General features: G+C 40.3%; 1 protein-coding gene across 11 annotated transcripts in view, besides 1 other annotated feature; it reads left to right on the top strand.

Moving 5' to 3' along the window:
- Positions 1-23,620, top strand: part of SEMA5A (semaphorin 5A) — a 511,043-nt gene that overhangs the window by 380,810 nt on the left and 106,613 nt on the right. For all 11 annotated transcript variants that reach the window (XM_011514158.3, NM_003966.3, XM_011514157.3 and 8 more), the window contains one exon: positions 10,571-10,778. In XM_011514158.3, the coding sequence (XP_011512460.1) occupies positions 10,571-10,778 (208 nt within the window). The remainder of the gene's footprint in view (positions 1-10,570; positions 10,779-23,620) is intronic.
- Positions 8,867-8,936: an enhancer, noted in NCBI's record as "active region_22348". NCBI's record gives its function as "activates an Ori minimal core promoter by ATAC-STARR-seq in GM12878 lymphoblastoid cells {active_cell/tissue: GM12878}" and the evidence as "EXISTENCE:reporter gene assay evidence [ECO:0000049][PMID:35858748]".

The raw sequence follows: 23,620 nt of genomic DNA, 5'->3' as shown, positions 1-23,620 counted from the left end.
ATATATATCAGATATATTACATTTCTACCCTTTAAGTTTTTTATTGCACCTTAGAGAAAATATATGTTTATCTTCTGTTTTGGAAGTGTTTTGGGCTGCTGTTGTTGAGACAAAATAACTTCTTTGAGTATTTTTTGATTGCTCAGTGTTCCCAGGTGTCTCAGCATTTAAGCCATTATACACGTGAGACACAGGGACTTTCACGTAAATACTGTTTAAGCATTAAATTTTTTCATTGTTCATGCACTCATGATGATAGAAGGCTATCTAATCATACACAAGTATGGACAATTGTGCACTGTTTTTACTCGTTGTGATGGTAAATATTATATTGGATTCACTGTGTTTCCTTTCCCTCCTGTCTCCACCCCTCGTTTCCCACTTTACCTTCTTCCTTCTAAAGATTTATTTCCGTAAAATTTTCAAATGTTGATGGAGCTAAAATTCTAGAAATCCTTCAAAAAGAAATTCATTATAATCAGAGACCTTTTCTTTAGGTACTTGAAAGTTCATTCTTAAGTGCTCATTTAGTTCTCTCTGAATTTCCCCCAAAATCACCAGAGGCAGTAGCATAAAGGTTTTAAGCAGTAGCACCAACCATATGAATTATTACATATTGTTGATCAAAATGCATTAATTTTGCAAAATGTTATACGTCCTATGACATTCCCTGCGACTTTTCTAGATCAGAACTACATATAAAGGTGGTTATGTGAAATAAATGAAAACATTTACAAATAATAGGCTATTCATAATATGAGTACAAGGTTATAGTACAAGGTTAAAAAGATTGAATCTAATATATAATTTATAATGCTTCCGTATTAGAATTTGAATCACAATATTTTAGAGGAAAGCAAAAAAATATTTATAATCTAGTTTTTAAATTGCGCTTAACAGTTTATCTGGATGCCAGAATCTATTATTTCTATATCCTACTCTTGACATATTTATATTATATATATTTATAATTATATAAATTATATAAATATTTATATCATATATTTATAATTGTATAAATTATATAAATATTTATATGCTATATTTATAATTATATAAATTATATAATTATATATACTATGTATTTATAATTATATAAATATTTATATGATATATTTATAATTATATAAATATTTATATGATATATTTATAATTATATAAATATTTATATGATATATTTATAATTATATAAATTATATAAATATTTATATTATAAATATATATTATATTATATAAATATTTATATTATAAATATATATTATATTATATACATAATATATAATTGTTATATAATACAATATTGCTGGGACTGCCATAACAAAGTACCATAGACTGAGCAGCTTAAACAACAGAAATTTATTTCTCAGCCCTGGAGGCTGGAAGTGCAAGATCAAGCTGTCGGCAGGTTTGGTTTCTCCTGAGGCCTCTCCTCCTGGCTTACAGATGGCTGCCTTCTCTCTTTGTCCTTCCATGGTCTTTCTTTTGTGCCTGTATCCTAACCTTCTCTTTTTATAAGGACAACACTCATATCAGATGAGGGCCTACACTAACGATTGCATTTTACCTTAAATCACTTTAGAGAGCCTGTCTTTAAATACAGTCACATGCTGAGGTCCTGAAGGCCAGGACTTAAACATATGACTTTTGGGTGGACACAGTTCAGCTCATAACAGACTCTATCTTAGTATAAGGCATATTTACCTTACAAATGAGATATTGTTACATTTGTGTTCATTTAAATTGGCCAGTACTCTGAAGATGCAAAACGGAATCTTGTTCAAACCATAAAATTCATGTTAGCTACTTAAACATTGAAAGTTAAAAAATAGCAGCTATTTTCCCCCAGAGCAAAAAACATGGTTAATTTTTCACCACTGATAATTGAATTATGCACATGAGAGTCTACATTATATATAGCAAATAGTGATTTAAGGGGCTTATTTTTATTGTCAATTTTAATGTTTAAACAAATCCTTTGTCATCTAAATTCTTTTTTTTTTTAAATGAAACAGCAATAGAAGGTTTTTTTTCATCGTCTGTTTCCCTGTTTGCTTCATGAGCCCATAGAAATGGGAGCTTGAAGCCTGATAGAGAAGTCTGATCTGCCCTGGGCTTGGCATCCTTTAGACACTAGTTTTCTGTGTAGTCAGTGGTATGATAAGATAAGCACATGTCTATACATCACAGCTGCATCTTTTCCTGGAATAACAACTGCTATTTAATATGCTGTTGTATCAGTTCACCTGATTTTTAGGAACTCACAATCTATACTATTACTGAGGCACCATTATAGGGATTGCATATGTCTCTTTTTATACTTTTGAAACAAAAATACCTTCAAAAATTCAGAAACCAGCTCTTGATCCGTATGAACAGGACCTAAACTCTGGCCCAGTAGTCTGACCTTTGGAAATCAGTTAACATTTCTGGACCTTGCTTTTCTCAACTGCACAATTTAAAATATTGTTTTACGTCCCTTCCAACCTTAACATCCATCATATCTTTGACTGTTTGAAAGGTTAACTTGGAAAATATAATGATGAAAGAAGGTTCAAATTTAGAGATGACCAAAATCAGTAGGATCACTCATAGTCTCCCCAAGAATGTATCTTGCTGGATTAAGGAAATCGACTGCATTTCTTACATTAAGGAAGAAAAGATGGTTTGTGTGTGTGTGTGTATATATATATATATATATATACACACACACACACATATATACACACATACATATATATACACATATACACATATATTCCTATATATACACATATACATATATACACACACACATATATATACACACACATATATATACACATACACATATATATACATATATATACACACACATATATATACACACACACACACACACACACATGTTTGTTTGAACATCATGCTATATACCTTTGCTTGCTTTTCCTTGTTAGCTTAATTTAGGAATAAATACATCTGATTTCCCCTGTGATTTGCACTTGCTTTAATATGTGGATTATTCAGGCTCTGGATGATGGAAAATCATGTTGGCCGCAGTGTTTCTGTTTGGGAGGTCAGTCAGGGTTATTCATAAAAGAGACACAGAAGCTATACTCCAAAGAAAAGTAGGAACTAACTTGACTTCTTGGTAGATAGAAAACTCTACAAAGCAAACAGATGAAAAACAGAAATAACCTTTTCTAATGGTCGTGATTGCTTTCTGTCCATCAATAAGTTTCTGAAATGAACTACCTACATGGCATTCACTCCCACAGGGCATCTGCCACTGCCTGTGAGCTGTGTGCCAGCAAGTGATAGCAGGTGTCCAGGTAAGGATTTAGAGACCAGGTTCCATTCTCATGGCCACATTTACTGGCCGTGTAGCTGTGAGCTGTCACTTCACCTTGGTGAACCTCCATCATCTTACTTGAAAGAGGAGGCAATTGACCTGGTGCAGGGATTTTTAAACACTTATAGAGAAGGACCTCTATATTTGAAAAATAGGGCAAGGTTCAATATGTGAAATGCAGAAAACTGAAGCTCATGATGTTGTGGGTTTGGACTTGTCTCTTGTTTGCGTGTAGCCAGGAGTACCTGGCTCTCCAGAGCAGCACCAGGACACCCCTGTACATCCTCAGGCAGTCCCGTACATTAGCCACAGCCTGCTGAAATGTGTCTCTGGCCAGCTGAAATGTGGTTAGTATGAACTGAAATGGACTATAAGTATAAAATACACTTGGATTTCACTTCATATAAAAGATCCAAATATTTTATATTGATTACATATGATATATCACATAATTTTTTTGGAAACCTTGGGTTAAGTAAAATATATAATTAAAATTTATTCACCTGTTTCCTTTTTTCCATTTTAAATGTGGCATCTAGAAAAATTTAAATTACTTTTGTGGAGTCTGATGTGTCACCATTGGACAGTGCTAGTCTAGATAAACCCTTTCGGTTCCTACCTCCTAAACCTCAGTGCTTGAGGGTTTTTGTGGGGATCCTAATTGCTATTGCTGCTTCCCCAGTTCCCGCGTTCAGGTCACTGCGTTCCCATGAAATGCATTAGGAATTTATCCTGGTAGCTTTACTTACTGCCACATTCTGCTCTAAGAACAGTATTTCATTCAAACTCCCATTAAAAAAAAAAAATTCCCCACTAAAAAACACATTTCTCTTTCCAGTTATTCTTCCCACAGTGTACTTAGTAACTTATTTGTTCCAGGACATGAACACGTTTTCCTGTGGGATGGGGACTGGGAATATAAGATTCAGTGTTTCATGGGTCATTTCTTGTGGCTGGAATTCTTTGGGGGTAATTTCTTTTTGTCCTTTTCAAGTTACACTCCTGTCTTTTGATAAGCATTGTGTAAACATTTCTTCTCCAGTAGTCATGTTTCCAATGGAATCTACTACTGTTTTGTGTGACAGTGTGCAAACTTTACCTTTGTAAACTATTTTCATTTATGACCTTTGCTTTTTCTTTTGGTCATTTTCCTAATGACTCAGATTGTAGAGGTTGAAGGGACCATCTCTGTCATTATGGTAATCCAGTTTTACCTCTGCATTTTATACCTGACATCAGGTTTACTCCTGGTCTTCTTTGACTGCATTGGTCACCAGCAAAAAATATATATATATTAAGAATTGTTTAGACCTACAATGTAGTGATCTGTGCCGAGGAGGGTTCTCTTCTTCTCATTGGCAGGCATGCCACTGAAGCCCTTTGCTTGTTCGAGAGTTGGTCTGGTGACAGCATGTTATGTGGTCCTTGTTTCTTTAGGAAATCATCCTTTTATCTTATTCTCAGAAACACCAACATTTAATTATACACATAACTTCTACTCATCTATAGTTATGTGAACTTTTCTTTGCATGTTACTCTCTTTAAACAGTTGGTTTAAGGGAGCAGGAAGGTCCTTCACTGTTTGCCCAAGGATGCTCGAGTCCACCTTGTATGTACAGAGGGAGGGGGTCATTGAGGCCAGAAGAACATATTGCCTTCTGACACAGATGTGCCTCTGCTTGTCCTTGAGATGGATGACAGACAAAGTCTTCCAATGGAGGAGAATGCTGACTTTTCTTTCTTTATTTCTTCTTAACAACAACAATAGCAAAACAGGATACATATGCAGAATGTGCAGATTTGTTACATAGGTATATGTGTGCCATGGTGGTTTGTTGCACCTATTGACCTGTCTTCTAAGTTCTTTCCCCTTACTCCCCTTCCCCCAACAGGCCCTGGTGTGTGTTGTCCCCCTCTCTGTGTCCATGTGTTCTCAATGTTCAACTCCCACTTAAGAGTGAGAACATGCGGTGTTTGGTTTTCTGTTCCTGTGTTAGCTTGCTGAGGATGATGTCTTCCAGCTTCATCTATGTCCCTGAAAAGGACGTGATCTTATTGCTTTTTATGGCTGCGTAGTATTCCATGGTGTATATGTACCACATTTTCTTTATCCAGTCTATCATTAATGGGCATTTGGGTTGGTTCCATGTCTTTGCTATTATAAATAGTGCTGCAATAAACATATGTGTGCGTGTGGCTTTATAGTAGAATGATTTATTTTCCTTTGAGTATATACCCATTAATGGGATTGCTGGGTCAAATGGTATTTCTGGTTCTAGATCCTTGAAGAATCATCATACTGTCTTCCACAATGGTTGAACTGTTTACATTTTCACCAGCAGTGTAAAAGCATTCCTATTTCTTCACAGCTTCACCAGCATCTGTTGTTTCTGGACTTTTTAATAATCATTCTGACTGGCATGAGATGGTATCTCATTTTGGTTTCGATTTGCACTTCTCTGATGATCAATGATATTGAGCTTTTTTCAGCATTCATTAGAATACTGACTTTCTTTTCATTGCCCTCCAGTTGGCTAAGTTCTATGACTTCTAGAAGAGCGGATAGAAAAAAAGGACAATGCAATCAAAGCACAACTACCTCTTCCCCTGTTTCAGTCTGTATCCTCAGTAATAGCCTTATAATTAATGTTCACTGTGGAGTCCATTGTTATAATCCTTTATTTCATTCATCAACATTGAAGTGAAAAGGCATTTCATGTCTAACCAGTTCATAGAAAATATGTATCAGTTCTGTTCTCTAAAACTCAATATCGTCACCTATAAAGTAGGAATATGTTGCTACATATATCCAACATATCTTCACTAGCTTGCCAAGATGATCAAAGGAGATGTGATGTAATAGGGCTGCCATATATAGCAAATATAAATACAGGCTGCACACTTAAATTTGAATTTCAGATAAATCATGAATAATATTGAATAGTGCATACTAATACTAAAATATTATTCATGTTTATCTGAAATTCAAATTGGCAGCCTGTATTTAATCTGGTAACCCTAGAATATAACATCCCTTCTCTTCTGCTAAGATGAGACAAATATGTAGTGAAGTATAATATTTAATGATGTTTTCATGTAATTACAAGTATTTGTGTCTTTTGAATAATAACCATATCAACACTAATGGATATTTAAAGTCTTGAAGTAGCTCTGTCCCTTTCATGATGAGTATCTATAGTTTTCTATTTGAGAGAGAAACTATAAATAGATGACACTCAGATTTGTGTCCATAGCATAATGAGTAGGGGACATTTTCACAAATGGCAAATACTATGAGAGTTTGCACTGAAGCAGTGTCCATTCTGAGCATCCTCTGGTCAGCACTGATTCTGCAGCTCCACCTCACATTGTCGTCTCTCCTTGGGAAGGGGAACTGAAATGGACAGGAAATGCCTATTTTTTTTTTTTTTTTACTTGTTGATCTCTGAATGTTAAAGAATGATTAAGAAGATTTTACATATTTCTGGCACTTTTTTTCATGCAAATAACTTTGGTTAGAGTATTAAATTTCAGAAGTATAGAAGTTTTGTATGGCTTTATTTCTTGTGGCAAATTTTCGGAGTTAATATTTTCTTGGATGAAACCAATTCTTCATTCATATTTAGTTTATGACATCTTGGGTTGAAATCTTTCCATATTGGTGAAATTCATGTTTGTTGTTTCACCTTCACACTGACTAATATCATAACTCCTGCTAGAGATTATAATGGGAAAAATATTAATCAGCGCTCTTTAGCAAATGTGGGAGTAATAATGACATTCTCATTCCAGGCTGGCTACACTTCTTTCCCTCACTCATTTGTTCAGTCTTTCAGCAGAATATATTCATGAAACATCTAATCTCTACTGGCCCTAATAGCAGCCACTACACATACATCATATGACACAACTGACATAGTTCTTTTCCCTATGGAGCCTAAGATCAAGTGTAAAAACCACAAAACAAGTAAGTTAGTAACTAAAACCATGGTAAATGTTGTAAAGTAAAAACAGCAACCAAATACAAATAGCTTTGCAAGATCCACCAGGGTCCTGCTATTGTCCTCCTATGTCAAATAGAAATCTATGGGGTTTTTCGGGGTGTCTCTTCTATAGGGCCATCTCTGTCTTTCTGCCACTGAAAGAAAATAACATTGTCATTTGTCACCTCAGGCAAAGGAGCTGCATGTCCAGGGTATGCCACAATCACAGGCTCTTGGGCTGCAAGTGCTTCCTGGTGGCCGTTGCCAGAGCACAGAGAGGCACAGGCAAGGATGGAGGCATGAAGGAGCATGGGGCCACCATGTGCATGCCTGGAGCCTGCCTCTAGATGCAGTGAGATGTGGGTGACAGAGGTGTAGAGGAAGCTGCAGGAGTGGCAGGGATGACAGGGGCGGGTGGACGAGAACTAGGTGAGCTGTGGGTGACAGGGAAGGAGAGGTCCCATCATCGGCCCTGGGATTATGGTGCTGCTGTCCCTTAGACAAGGTCACAGGAGGTGGGACATGCTGGTAGGCCACATGGAGAGTCAGGGAGGCCTGTCAAGTTTCTGGTGTCTCCAGTCCCTAACGGTTGAGTTGCAGATACAGAGCCAACATTCAGCTTTGAAGACAGATCCCGGCTTTGAAGACAGACCCTAGGGTAATCATGAGGACAGGGGATGAGAAGGCTGTGACCAAACATGTGAGCATGCAGGAGTTCAGAACAAGGGCAGGGCACAGGCAGGGGAAGGAAGAGCTTCAAGGAGACAGGAAGGGTCTTTGTGTGCTAAACCTGATGCAGAGGGAAGGGGGAACTGTGGAGGGGACTCGTCACATGACTAGACACTCCAGGGAGTGAAGGATGCACGGTCATCCATTGTGGACCAGCATGCAAGCCCACGCTGAGCACTTTGCTCTGAAATGCTAAGCCCTGTAGTTTTGTTAGTTCCCACTAGTTGGAAAATCAGATACAAGGTATGCAGAAATATGCAGTAAAAGTTTATGATCAAAGATGGCTCACTCTTTTAAGTCAAACTATCACAGATCTTTAAAAATTTGATTCTTTCCACAATTACTTAAGAATTTGAAATACATATGAGCATATTGACATTTGGACTGTTGTTAATTTGGGCAGGTTTCTCAGAATCATAATCCTTCAACAAAATAAATAATAAACAGCAATGAGTCTTTGTTAAATTCTCAGATAGGCTATAGTTCTGTAAACTCTGTTTCCCATGCCACTCTAGGCTGGTGAACAACTAGTGTGACGCTGGTCACAGCACAGTGATCCTCCAGCTGGATCCTGACTCTAGGCAGGCCACCCACCCCTGAACTTCTATGAAAGCTCCTGTTTCACCCAGGGGTCTCTCACATAAGTTCTCCCATGAGCCTTGCTTCCCCTGCCTCCCTCCTAACATGTGTCTCAGATGATGTCCTCTTGTGTAATGATGTCGCAAAGGCAGCCACAGGCTCTATGCCCATCACTGCTCCACAGGAAGGCTGACACCTCCCTCTGCTGGTGCCTCATGGGGACCTCCTTGCAGGGCCTGTGGCTGACACATGTGAGCTGATGTCACCTTCCCTGAAGCCCCCATCTTGTCCCTGTTAGTTCCTTGGTGCTGTGTAAGTTTATTGACTCTTCGCTGTACCCCAGGCAGAGAGACCTAAGAATCATTGAGGCTGAATTTTCCAACAAGCTTATGAACTGTGATGTCCAAGTCAAAATTAATTTGAATTATAGAATTAAGACATAAATTTTTTCTTACATGCTTACATCTGTGAACTGTGAATTTGCTAAAATGTCTGCCTCTCTACGCCACAGCTGCCCCTTTCTCTTCCCTCTCTCGTTCTCTCTTTTGTCCTCACCCTTTTACATGAACACAAATACATGCTCTTTCCTCAAGATCATTTTAAAATCTTCCCCGCATATAGCATACTTCAGTGTATGATTGACCTTTTTAAAAAGTAGCATATTTAACCAGTTAGCTTAAAATGAAAGCAAGCAATTGTTTGCCAATACTGTCTACATGATTTTTCAGTCAGTGTATAATCAGAAAATGCTCACTGGAGATGTTTCAGATATGCTTTTTAAAGTAAATTCAGGCTAAAACATGTCTGCTTATGTATTTTTTTAAACACAAATAGCCTCCATCTCTATGGCTTTCATAGAGAGAGAAAAATGTAAAGTATTTTATCCAAGGTCTTTTGCAATGAATTGCTTGATAGGAGGCCTTGAAGTCAAATATTCTTGACTACTTCTGGTTTTAGAATAACTCCTTAAACTCATTTTCTGTGTTTGCAAAATAAGAACCATGATGTTTTGAAACTCGGGATCATGGAAGGTTTTATTCAGTCAGGGCCTTCAGGATGATTCCAGGTACTTGAGTGGATCTCTAAGCGGCTTCCAGAAGGCTGGATTTCATGCCTGGGATTTGCAGGGTGTCAGCAAGGAGTTGCGGGGTGCAGCACAGGGTACCTGGGAGAGCAATGTTCGTTTCAACTGTGTGTCCCCCTAAGCTGGGAAGGCTGCATGGCTCAGGGGCCGCTCACCCTCCAGCAGTGCTAGCAGTCAAGCAGATAAATAAGTGCACAGAAACACCCAGGGAGCAAGAAGCCTGGAGCGGGGAGGGCTTGGATCAGGCCAGAAATTAATACTCAGAAGCACAAGAAAGAAAGTTTGGAGGAGTTGAGCCCAAGAAAATCATCCCAAAGAGCAAGCACTAGGAGGAAAGAAGGAGCTAATGTAGACAGAGGAGAGAGGGAGATGGAGGAGGGTGTACTTCTCGTGGCAGGAAGGAGGAGGGGGCATCACAGTCGTACTGGATATTTGAAGCTGCCAATCACATTGCATTTTCCTTGCCCTGCTGGGCACCAAAATCAGCATCTCTGTCACTAAGAATCCAAGATCGTCCCTTGAGGGTCTTTCTTTCCTGATGTTTTCCATGGGATGGCACAAAGCTTGCTACTTTGAGCTCTCCATCCCGAGACTTGGAACTGGAAGGGTCCAATCGGACATGATTAGTCCTCATCCCTTGCTACATGAGAGCATCATTTTAAAAGATACTGCTGCCTGGGCCCCACATCCAGTGCAGCTGACCTAACTGGTCTGCAGTGGTGTCCAGGTGTACTGTTTTTGAAGGATGCTCAGATGGCTTTCCTGGCTGAAGATCCATGGCTGCATACACAGCACACTCTGTTTAACCAGGGATTGGTTTGTGAGACCCTCTGACCTTGTTTCCTTTTCATCCTGTGACCTTCATAGATTACGGAACCATTAAGAAAGTGCGGGTACCCCTGAATCAGACCTCAAGCAGCTGTTTGCTGGAAGAGATTGAGCTCTTCCCTGAGAGGCGGAGGGAGCCCATCAGGAGCCTGCAGATCCTGCACAGCCAGAGTGTCCTGTTCGTGGGCCTGCGGGAGCACGTGGTCAAGATCCCCCTGAAGAGGTGCCAGTTCTACCGCACACGCAGGTAGGGCATCTCCGGGGTCAGGATGCACTGGTGTGTGTGTGAAGGGCCCACCCAGAGAGAGCCAGGGAGGCTTCAGATGCCCTGAAGTTGAATGGCCTCAGAGCCACCCTTCATGCCTCTGAGAGTCCTGTGCTCTAGGATGCAGAGCTTTCATTAAAATAGATTCACTGTGATGAGAATAACCCACCAGTTCTCCTCAGAGGAGGAGCCACGTTATAATACCTGTAAGAAGTTGTCAGGGTTAAAATAAATTATTCAGTGCCTTAGAACACTCAGTGGTAATACTGATATTTGATGACTGTATTAATATGTTAATCTGGCACAAGCTTATATATATGTATATATATATACACACACACACATACATACATACACACACATACACACACACACATATATATATATATATATATATATATATATATTTTTTTTTTTTTTTTTTGAGACACAGTCTCACTCTGTCACCCAGGCTAGAGTACAATGGTGAGACCTCAGCTCACTGCAACCTCTGGCTGCCAGGTTCAAGTGATTCTCGTGCCTCAGCCTCCCAAGTAGCTGGGAATACAGATGTGTGCCATCATGCCTGGCTAATTTTGGTATTTTTAGTAGAGACAGGGTTTCACCATGTTGGCCAGGCTGGTCTTGAACTCCTGACCTCAAGTGATCTGTCCACCTCTGCCTCCCAAAGTCCTGGGATTACAGGCTTGAGCTACTGCACCTGGCCTCAAGCTTGTATTTTATTTGAATATAGAAATAACAAAAAATATTATAAGGTATACGTCCTTCTCGACCACAGCTCATATGCTGATAACCCCTTGAGAAGAAGGAGTGGTTGATGTTGCTGCAGTGGCACCCACTTTCCGGGACACCCCCCCCTCCCCCGCCACTGTCCTTGGCACCAGCTCCCCTGGAGTGCTGCTTCTCTCCTGAGCCTGCAGAGAGGGTAGGGAGGGAGGTCTCCAGCCACAGGGAAACCCAAGAGTCATTGCATCTTCCTTCACCCTCAGGCCAGTCTTATCTTCCGTGGGACATCCACGATCAACCACAGTTGTGTTTAAAGTTTAATTTGGAAACATGTTGGCCCAGGTACTTAGGAAATGAAAAAGTACTGTATACATCACACACCTGACCAGCACTTTACTCCGGGAGATTGTATATACACTCTGATCCCTGACAAAAGATCGCCCTTGGGGAAATCAGAATCTTAAATGTTCTTAGGCATCTTGTTTAATTCCACTCCTAAAGCAGGGTGTAATTGCAGATTTGGAGTAGAAATAGTCCTTTTTGATATATCACTCACAGACATCTACCCTACACAGGCCACTCTCTCTCTAAACAAGGTGCCAAGTTACACTGGCTTTGGAACTCAGAAGCTAGGGTTCATGGAACAGACCTGTTGTTGCCTTTTTTTTTTTTTTCTGAAATGGAGTCTTGCTCTGTAACCCAGGCTGGAGTGCAGTGGTGTGATCTCGGCTCACTGCAATCTCCACCTCCTGGGTTCAAGCGATTCTCTTTCCTCAGCCTCCTGAGTAGCTGAAATTACATGTGCCAGCATGCCCAGCTAATTTTTGTATTTTTAGTAGAGACAGGGTTTCACCATGTTGGCCAGGCTGGTCCCGAATTCCTGACCTTGAGTGATCCACCTGCCTCTGTCTCCCAAAGTGCTGGGATTACAGGCGTGTGCCACTGCGCCCAGCCCTGTTGTTGCTGTTTCTTGACCCAGGTCGCAAAAGTATTTCAGAATTCACTTTGTCACTCAACACATGTGAATTGCTGTAGACTCAAATAGGATAATATATAGAGTATAAAATTTAAGCACTCTGCAAAGTGAGTATTCTTAGGTGGAAGGAAGGTTTTGATGTGTAATCACAGCAATAAGCCTGTCAAGATGATTCTAGAAAATGAAGTCTTTAATGTCTCCTTTGAAATGAGAGAGAGAGTTGAGGAATAATGCCAGGAACCTCCCAGCTAATCATAATGATATTGTGAACATTAATAACAGCTAGTGGTATTTATTAACTGCCATTCTTATATATGCTTACTTCCTAAATTTAACCACTGGCTGCTTGAAATGTGTTCTGGTTTGTGTTCCCTGCAGAACTAGCCTAGGGAAGGAATTATTCTTCCTCCAGTTGCTGTTGGTTCAGTGGGTAACAGGATTGGGGTCTGGCCAACAGGATGTCATAGCTGGAATATATCTAGAAGGACACCAGTCTTTCAACTCCAGCTCAGTGAAGGATGACCTTTTTGGAGGGTGACACGGGATAACCCACAGGAAGCCGCAGGCCTGTGCTGTCTGCAGGGTGATTCTGGTGCCAGAATGGGAGTGCATGGCTTACAGAGCATGAGGCAATTCATCTTTTACAGGTTGCTCTCCTTCCTTGAGTCTGGGTCATAATCGCTCAGCCTCTTGTACACGCAACTTAGGAACTAAGTTCTGCATCAGATCAGTGATGAGAGGCACAGTGTCCCTGGCATCTCTCATGCACCTGAACTGCCAGCCCACTTGTGGATCCACAGGAGCTGGTGCTCCAGGCACAGAGGCCTGGGGAGGAGTTCACTGTTCCCTCTTTCCTTTCAAGGAGAATGATGACACTGGTGTGTCTTCACTGGGCTCCTGAGAGGGAAGGAGCTTGACATTTATAGCTGGAGCTTAATCATCCTGCTGTTTACTCTGAGAGAAGCAGTAAGAAATCGTAACTTCATTTTCAACTGATAGACTATAGTCTTCTGTGTGCCCTTCCTCAGAGGGGGTTAGTTTTTGCCTGGTCCTTTAGTATTTCATTCGAGAAAAGAAAACTAAAGATTTCAACCCAAGCATTTCTCTGAATATTTCCAATGTGTTTCTCTATTATCCTACTCCTGTAGAAAGATAGGAAACCCTCCCTAGTTAACATTCCATGGAGAAAAGAATCTTTAAAAAAAAATAACTGCACAAACATTTTTTATAAATTATAAGGAAAAATTGTGGGGTTTTTTGACAAAAGCAATTTTAATCTTTCAGAAAGATGCTTAAAGAAGTACACTAAATAGGAATAGGAAAACAATTGGGTAACGATTGGATACTAATTTCTTTGCCAATATACTTTCCATCATAGAATCTCAGTAATGCCATTTATTATTGGAAAACCAGTCTTATAAATGAATCTTGAAGTATTTAAAAAGGGAAACTGCTTATCTAAATTACCCATCTCCTTCTAAATCATGTTTACATGTTTAATTTTCTTGAGTCTTTTTTCCAAAGACAATGCACAATGACATTTATTAAAATGTGTATAAATGATAACTGATACAATTTCACAAATTTCTTTCACATATCTGACAATATGCTAGATTTTGTGAGAATTTGGCGGGATTATTATGTCAATCCTGAAAGTAAAGTAGCATACCATATCCATTGTTCAGATGAGGAAATGGCAGCTCATATTTTTGGTGTCCTGCTCAAAGTCACATAGCTACTGCAACATGAGACCTGGGTCAGAGCCGAGACTGCCCCAGGCCCATGTTGTATTACTGGTTGTTTCTGCTGCCCCGGTACAACGAGGACCACCCATTCAGTGGTCAGATTTCAGCTGAAGGAGCTGCTGGATTGCACTCTTCATGTGTGAAACTGAGAGGCAGAGCTGGTCAGTACCCAGACAGGCAGAAGCCAGGTCTTCTGAGAGAGGCTCAACCCCCTTCCCGTTAGCCTCTTCCTCATTCTGCTTGCCATCAGACTGGATCAAGCAAACATGAAGGAGGTTTTATACTCTGTTTTTCCAAAGCTTTCTAAGCTGAGTCTCCATTCCCTGGTTATTCTTAAGGAGATCCTGGGACCTCAGGCGGCGGGGGTTGGGAGTGGTGAGAGAACACCTGCCTGTACTGACCACACGTGTGTTGTGACTGATCAGAACATAGCACTGTTGCCTTAGAAAGTTATTTTAAAAGATCAATATTTCAAAATTATATTTCCGTCAAGTTTGACCTCAAAGACGAGTAAAAAAATTGTGTTTTGATGTTAGCATTTTTTTTTAGCACAGCCATTTAATAGATAGAGTGAGAAAATCATTCAAAAGACAAAGCTAACTCATTGGAATTGGTGGTGATCTCTGGGGATGTAGAGTACCAGAGAAACTGCACTATTCATGCATATCCTTTTTCATTTTAGGCCTTATTGACCACATCTGTGTATAAGTTGCAAAAGTGAGTTCACATTCACTAATTTCTGAGGAATTTGGGGATCTGGGAAGGCCCAGCTATGAGTACCATGAGTAACAGGGGAAGACAGGAAAGCTGACCTCATCCTGTGGGCCAGGCCATGCACCTGGCTCATGGTCGAGTAGCATCATGTGGTCTTTAAAGTGGGAAAAGGCTGGAAGTGGTGACTCACACCTGTAATCCCTGCACTTCTTGAGGCTGAGGCAGGAGGATTGCTTGAGGCCAGGAATTCAAGACTAGCTTGGGGAACATGATGAGACCTGTCTCTACAATGAATAAATTAATTTAGTGGAAAAAGTCTCCATGAGGAGGCACAGGATGGAGCAGCCAAGAGCAGCCACTCACTGACTTCCTGCCTTGTGTAAACACCAATGCGAAGTCAGAACCTGCTACCCTATGAGCTCTGGCCAAGAACTCATAGGCTTCCCACCTCTGTAATTCAGGAGGAAAAGAGCAGCCACAGGACCTGTGCTCTAATAATCTTGTCTAGAAATCAGGTTGTTATTTTCTCCCACAAGAAAATGTTATAGCCTTCCAAGTAGTGTGACTGATTGTACCTCTTCAAGGCTAAGAAAAGAACAGCTTAGAGGTGTGGTGATGGGAGGGCCGCTGATTTGGACTCTTTTTATTCTGTTTTGTTTTGTTTTTGAGACGAGTCTCACTCTGTTACCCAGGCTAGAGTGCAGTGGTGTGATCTCAGCTCACTGCAACCTCCATCTTCCGAGTTCAAGTTATTCTCCTGCCTCAGCCTCCCAAGTAGCTGGGACTACAGGCATGCGCCACCAGGTCTGGCTAAGTTTTGTATTTTTAGTAGAGACGGGGTTTCACCATGTTGGCCAGGATGGTCTTTAACTCCTGATCTCAGGTGATCCACCCACCTCAGCCTCCCAAATTGCTGAGATTACAGGCATAGGCCACCGCACCTGGCCCTGATGTGGACTTTTAAAGTCATTTTAAGGCCTCTGTGTGGAGTGGATCAGCATGTTGGCAAACTTTCTTTGCAAAGGGCCAGAGAGAAACACTTGTAGGCTGCACAGATGTCCAGTCTCTGTTGAAACTCCTCAGCTCTTCCCTTGCAGTGTGAAAGCAGCCATAGACCATAATGAATGGGTAGATGTGTGGGTCAAGCAAGGCTGATGGATTTGTCTGTTGAAAAAAGTGTGATCCGCTTTTAGATCCAGACAGTTTATTACTTAGCCAAAAAAAGAGCAGAAAATGAGTCTACTCACCACATCCCTTGTCCCACAGGATGACATCAAAACAAAAGGGGCAGCCGGGCATGGTGGCTCACACTTGTAATTGCAGCACTTTGGGAGGCTGAGGAGGGCAGATCACTTGAGGTCAGGAGTTCAAGACCAGCCTGGCCAACATGGCAAAACCCCGTCTCCACTAAAAATACAAAAATTAGCTGGACATGGTAGCGCATGCCTGAAATCACAGCTACTTAGAAGGCTGAGGCAAGAGAATCGCTTGAACCCGGGAGGCAGAGGTTGCAGTGAGCCGAGATCACACCACTGCACTCCAGCCTGGACGACAGAGTGAGACTCTGTCTCAAAACCAAAACAAAACAAAACAAAATGGCCAGGTGACAGTGCAGCAGGAGGACTAAGGCACTGTACTCTCAGGAGCCCGTTCCATGCTGTAGCCTGGCAGTTTTAGAGCCTAAAGCTGTATCCTAGTGCGGGTATATGAAGGGGCAGAAAGCCTTACACCTCATCAGAACCTGGAAAGCAATGAGAAGCTCCTGACAGCCTTCCTGGGACATAGGGATGAGGGAGGAATGGTTTTGCAGCAGTTCCTCATAATCCTCCCGCGTTCCAGGACCAGGGAGGATCCTGGGGCCAAAGCTTAGGTCACTTGTGAGTAAGCCTTGCCCTGTGGCCTCTGTGCACTCATGAACAGTCACCAGAGAGGAACATTCCCCAGTTCTGTGTTTCAGGAAAAGTTTAGGTGGCCGTATGAATTTGGCCACAGGCTGTGTGGTTTGCTGACCCCTAAGTTAGATTATCATCTACCTTTTGAATAAATGAATGTTCCTTAATAACACTAATTTAGAAAATTAGGTATTTCATTTATCAAATGAGTTATTAAATTACATAGGTTAATCTGTACCCTAATATTTTCTGAACACCATGGAATTTTCTACCCTTTGGATACTTACTCATACAATCTTAATTTTTTATTTAACATTCATTGAAAGAGTGTGCACTTAATCTTTTATCATAGAACAGAAAGTAGACTGTAAATTCCTGCATGCCAGCACAGGCTTCATTCAAGCTGTGGGAACATAAGCTCCCAAAGCCTGGGCTTCCTCTGTGCTTCTGAGTTCAATGAAGCCCCCAGCCTGGTATCCAGCTCAAAAAAGGGTCAGTAAATATAATATTTGTTAAATTAGCAAATGGACATTCTGCCTCTCCCTTATCTGCTAATTTACTTCATACCTTGAAAGGAAGCAAAATTCTTGTGACAAAATAAAATTCCTTTGCAGAAAAATGTGGCAATATCATACAGTAGCAAAAGGATTGAAAGCCTTTGGGCCTTAGGTGGGTTTTTTTTTTTTTTTTTTGGTTTGTTTTATTTTTGCTTAATGAACTAATTGGGGGAAAGGAGAGAAAATCTGGGAACTGGAAGTATTATAGCTTACATATAAAAGAGTCACACCTTTTAAATTGTGCCTTATAAGACTAGAGGGAAAGATGGACCATTAAGAAAAAGACATTGGGCAGGACGTGGTGGCTCATTCCTATAATCCCCGCACTTTGGGAGGCTGACCCGGGTGGATCAAGAGGTCAGGAGTTCGAGACTAGCCTGGCCAACGTGGTGAAACCCTGTCTCTACTAAAAATACAAACATTAGCTGGGCTTGGTGGCACAAGCCTGTAAAACCAGCTACTCTGAGGCTGAGGCAGGAGAATCGCTTAAACCCAGGAGGCGGAGGTTGCAGTACACTCCAGCCTGGGTGACAGAGCAAGATTCTGTCTAAGAAAAAAAGAAAAAGAAAAAGAAAAGGAAAAAGACATTGGTTCTATTGAGTGAACTGGTATTTGGGCGTTCTTAATGCAGTTAGCCTTTAATAGTATCATTTAGTTAAAGAAATTAACACCTCATCAAAAAATTAGTATGGAAAATTAGATTACTACAGGATGTTTATTGCTCTAAAGGTCAAAGTTTTAAAAGCCGGAGTTAATAGGTTGACACCTTTCTTAATTAAATATTCCCTAAAGACAGCATCTGCCAATGGAAAAAGCATACAATGTGTACAGAGAAATTGCAGGGTCTCCACGTGGTCTCCCAGCCAGACAACCTTACTCATTTGGTCATTAATCAAATAAACATTCAGGAGGACATTTTGACATGTACCCATTTTACAAAGTAAATATTATCCCCTCAGAATGAATTTAATATTTGCCAAATCTCAAAGTCTTGAGTTTTTGTTTGTGCTGGCTTTGGTTTAACCTCTAGAGAATGTGGATTTTTTGTAATTAATTCCTTTATATTATATTTATTGAACTCAATACATGCCAAACACCAAGTGGGGCCCTGCATAGAGGATGATGAATGAGGCATCCCTGACCCTGCCTTCAGAGGACTCAGAGTGTAATAAGAAATTCTGGTGTAAGTAAAATCACCTGCTGTCATGGAACTGAACCGAAGGACCTTGGAGTTGCCTTAGAATTTATTCCAAAATCGATTTATCTTTAAAGTCTGATCCCGGAATACACTAGGACCTAATCTCCTCACCTAATGTTCCTCTCCAATTATTTTTTAAAGCTATATCTGTATCATAACCAGTGTTCTAATTTTCAATTTCCAGTAGTAAGGGAATTAATCACCACTTATGATACATCCTTTCAACGATTGTTCTCTGATTGAGTTATTCTGAAGCCATTAAGCGACACCTATGAAGACATCTGTATGACACAACAAAAATGTAATAAAGCACAGCAACATTATATGGATGCCACCATTAAATCTGTTTTTAAAAATAGAGAAATGGCAGAAAGTAAATGCACCGAGTTTTTGTTGGTGCTGGCACTAACAAAAGTGGTAAGTGCTAATTAGGACAGTGAGGAAGACATGATAAGAGGGGTTCCAAGGTAGGCTTGGGCTGGAGCACAGTGTATTCCAGTGTTGTCGTAAGGTAACACCCCCAGACCCTGGGCAGGGTGGGTAAGAACCCATCAACACGTGAAACTGCTTTACAAAGAGAATGTGTCCTTGGTCTCTAAATGGCAATGTGTGTTTTCAACAGTCAGCTGGGTAAAGTTTGAAAATCTATTACCAACTGTTTGTACTTCAGTTGAGAAACACAACTAAAGGATATCAGAAAGAAAAAGTTTCCTTCTTGGCCAGGTGCAGTGGCTCACACCTGTAATCCCAGCACTTTGGGAGGCCAAGGAGGGTGGATTGCTTGAGGTCAAGAGTTCAAGACTAGTCTGGTCAACATGATGAAACCCCATCTCTGCTAAAAATACAAAAAAAAAAAAAAGCTGGATGTGGTGGCAGGCGCCTGTAATCTCAGCTACTCGGGAGGCTGAGGCAGGGGAATTGCTTGAACCAGGGAGGTGGAGTTTGCAGTGAGCCAAGACTGCACCACTACACTCCAGTCTGGGTGACAGAGACTCCATCTAAAAAAAAAAAAAAAAAAAAGTTTTCTTCTTTAATATCTACTCCACAGGCCTCCTGCTTTTGAGCTCTCAAATTTAAAGTTATGTAAGAATTCCATAGGAAAGCTTGAGCTGCCACCACTTCTTGGCTCCAGACCCCTGCACCTGAGTTATTCTAAATACGAGCACCTGGACTTCTCCTAAGATTTTTATTTGCTGCATAGTCCAGTGAATTCTTAAGGAGATAACTGTTCTCATATGTTTGCAAAACAGCTTGCCTATGGAAAGAGCATGAGCTTTGCATTCAGATGGTTCTGGATGGGGCTTTTGTGTGTGTGACCATAAGCCAGTTACTCAAAGTCTTTGTATCTTATTTCTCAACCCTGTTTCCATAGGAGTGTGTTATTGGAGATAAAGAGAGAGAGGCTATGTTAGGGGGCTGGTACTTAATAAGAATTTGACACAAGATAGTTCCTTTCCTGTTTTAATACTATACTCAGTTCATGCAGGTCCTTCTGAGCTGGCATTGCCTGTGAGTGGTCTTTTACACTTTCTGCACACTATGTTGAAGGCTGGGATTCAAAGTCTCCCTCTGTCCTAGATGTAAGTCAAAATAAAAAGTGAATGAACAAACAAGAAAGAGAAGGAAAAAAAAAAAGTAAAAATGACAGACTGCTCTTTTATGTGTGGTTTGCCTTCTTTGCCCACATATACTTCTCATGGTCTCCGGACTAAACTGAAGGTAAACTGACCAGCCAATCATTTGCTGCTCTGCCTTCAAACAACTTCATGTTGTCTGAGAGGAGGATTCTTCTCCTTTCATTCAATTGTTACCTGACTCTGCCGGGGCAAATCAACAGTTCATGAGACTCTAGCATGACCACATGATGTGCTTGGGTGAGTGATGTCAGCATGGCCTCATCCAAGCAGCGGGAGCATCTGTCCATGGATTTGCAATAATTCCCTGTCTCAAGTGAACATGTCTCTATCCACACAAGAGCAACTGGGATTCAGGCACTGATGAAGGCTACACAAGGCCAAGTGTGAAGAGAGCCAGGTGCTTGCCTTCACCACTGTCACCGGCTGCCCAGCAGTCATGAGGGCACCAGAGAATCCACATTCAAGGCAGACCTCACACTTGCTGTAACTACCCGCTGAGAGGGACAAATGTTCTTTCTGAGGGGTGGGCTGTACTACACAGAAGGGTTCCTTGGCATTGAACCTCTTCCACTCAATTGCAGTCAAACTGTTAAGTTAGGTGAATTATAAGAAAACAGAATAATACATATTTTCCCCTCTGGACTTATGCCCTTTTAAGGTTTTGAGTAAAAATTAAAATGTATTACTTGACACCTTCTGCATTCTTCAGGCATAATTGTTGACCCTTAAACCCTATTTCACAGAAGTGTTTCTCTTGAAAAAGAAAAACATGTTATATAGCAAATAAGTAATTGTGTCTTCATTTTAAATCTTAATTAGCCAAGAGGAGAGGACACTGGGGGAGGGTGAACTTTGGAGGTACCTATAATTATGCCTACTTATGGAATAGAGAATGTGGAATACCAATGGTGTGGGTTTCTCCCTGAATGAAGTGACCAGTAATTATTTTCTTTTCTTCCTGAGCACATAGACACAGCTGTTTCTGGTTGCCATTCCTGGTGAGTTACTTCCACATCGTGGAACCATGGAAGGTTTATGTTGGGCCATTGAAACACCCTGTGCCTCCTTTGTCCTGGTTTTGGTCCCCTGGTACAATCCTAGCCATGGAAGAGGCTGCCTTTCTTGGCTTTGTCCTGGAGGCAGTCTTGGCCTTTCTAGAAAGACTTTATATTTGTTCTAGAGAAAATTTACAATGATTGAAGCCCACAAGGAGGTCAAGATAAACAGCTCAGGATTCAGTGCTTAAAGAGGGAGTGGAACGGGGTCTCTGCATCAGGTCAGAAACCAAAGCTGGCAAACCAAGTTAATCACAAGTCCTAGATCCAGGAAGAACTTTTGACTTGCTTATTTCACATGTGCTCTATCTAATCCCATCACTGTTTTTTAAATTATCAATTTTCCTGAAATGCTTTACTGTAAAATGTGTATCAATCTTGTTCAATTTTAAAACAGATTTTTCAGGAAAATTGAAATGTTATATTTGCCTATGGGTTTTAACTAAAAGAACATATGCTTAGTATGCTTAATATTAGTGCCAGTATAAGTCAATTATTTAAATTTAATATTAAGTGCAAAATGAAATGTAAAAAACAGCCATTGTATTTGATCAGTGTTATTTAATGTTAAGCCGAGTAGTTTTAATACATGAAAAGTATTAAAAGTTAATCACTAATTGAAATCAAGTACATTAATTTCACCTACAAATCATAGCATGTAATGTGAATTATTGCTGGACTTAGTATTTTCAATATAGAATGTTTTCAACTACCTCAGAAATCCATAGTGTATAATAACTTGAAATTGTGCTTAGGGACTAATTATAACAACTGTATGCATCTCCATCTCAAAAAAACCTTTTTTATATACTGTCTAGCACGATATAACTCTCCAAACAGCCCTGTGAATAGGTATTTTTGTTCTAGTTTTGCAGAAGAGGAAAACAATGAAAATGTATGTTCTAGTTGGATTTACCAATTGAAGGATCTGTGGATGTCTCAGGAAGGCTATTGTCTACTTGGAATTTTCTTCAGTCTTATTTTTTGTAAGATAATTTGTTTGTTTGTTTGTTTGTCTGAGATGGATTCTCACTCTGTCACCCAGGCTGGAGTGCAATGGCACGATCTCAGCTCACTGCAGCCTCTGCCTCTGAGGTTCAAGTGATTCTCCTGCCTCGGCCTCCCAACATGGCATGTGCCATCATGCCCGGTTAATTTTTCTATTTTTGAACATGGTTCAAGACTATGTTGACCAAGCTGGTCTTGAACTCCTGACCTCAAATGATCTAGCCACCTTTAGCTCCCAAAGTGTTGGGATTACAGGCATGAGCCACCGTGCCTGGCCAGATAATGTTTTTAATTGCAGCTCTTAAAGTACAAGAATAGCTTATGAAGTATATGGTAACATGGTACTTAGGAATGGGACAGATTTTCATAGGAATTAGGGAAGGGATAATTCATAGGCAGTTTGATCACTACCACAATCATTGTAATGATAATAGAAGTTAATATTGATGTTTGAAGTGTGGCTCTTGCACAGTATTTGGGAAGCACTTTAAAGTATGCAACACTTGCAAGGAAACCCTCAATCTTTAGTGGAGCCCAAGGACTCTGCCCATTTCTCTCCTCAAGCTTCAGCCCAAGTCCAGCCTCCATTTTACCAGTTCTTCAAACTCTCCAAGTTCTCTCCCCACTGAGTGCTTTTCCCAAGCTGATCTCTCTGCAAAAAGGTTCTGTTCTTGCTGGCGCCTATCAAATGGGTCACTTCTGTTCATCCCATTTGTTCCAGTCCCTACATATCCTCTCATCCAAGGCTCACCCACCCATCGAAGTGGGGATTCACCAGACTCTTATGGCCCTTTGAATTCTTCCTTTGCAACTGGTTGTTGATATTTATCATGTAACTATTTAATATTTACTTTCTTAACCAAATGGGAAGTTCTTGGAGCTCAGTGACAGTGTCTGTTTGCCATGGTACACCCAGCACTTTCAAAGTTGACTTCATAGCAAGTGCTCGTAAGTATGTGCTGAATTGATACATGATTGAAACACTTTTAAAATCCCATGTGTAAGAATACATTTTATATTAACAAAATGGCAAAAATTCTTAATATCAAAAATAAACTGACCTAATGATAATTAGTGTGACAGTGACAAGCCAGATAAAGTCATCACTGATACTTAGATAATCTAATAGGCACGAGGAATTGTACTTATTAATAAATCTCAACTTTTCAGAAATACAGTGAAAATATTTTAATGAATAAACTTATTTTTCTGTTACTCCAACTAACAAAAAACGTAATTGCAAATTTTTAAAATGTAAAGAAATACTTTAGATATATGTTGATGTTATTGTCATGTGGAAAGGAAAGTAGACATTT

The sequence above is a fragment of the Homo sapiens genome, chromosome 5, assembly GCF_000001405.40.
Source record: "Homo sapiens chromosome 5, GRCh38.p14 Primary Assembly".
NCBI lineage: Eukaryota > Metazoa > Chordata > Mammalia > Primates > Hominidae > Homo > Homo sapiens.
Note: the sequence above shows the minus strand (reverse complement) of the source record. Positions and strands in the feature narration are given on the sequence as shown.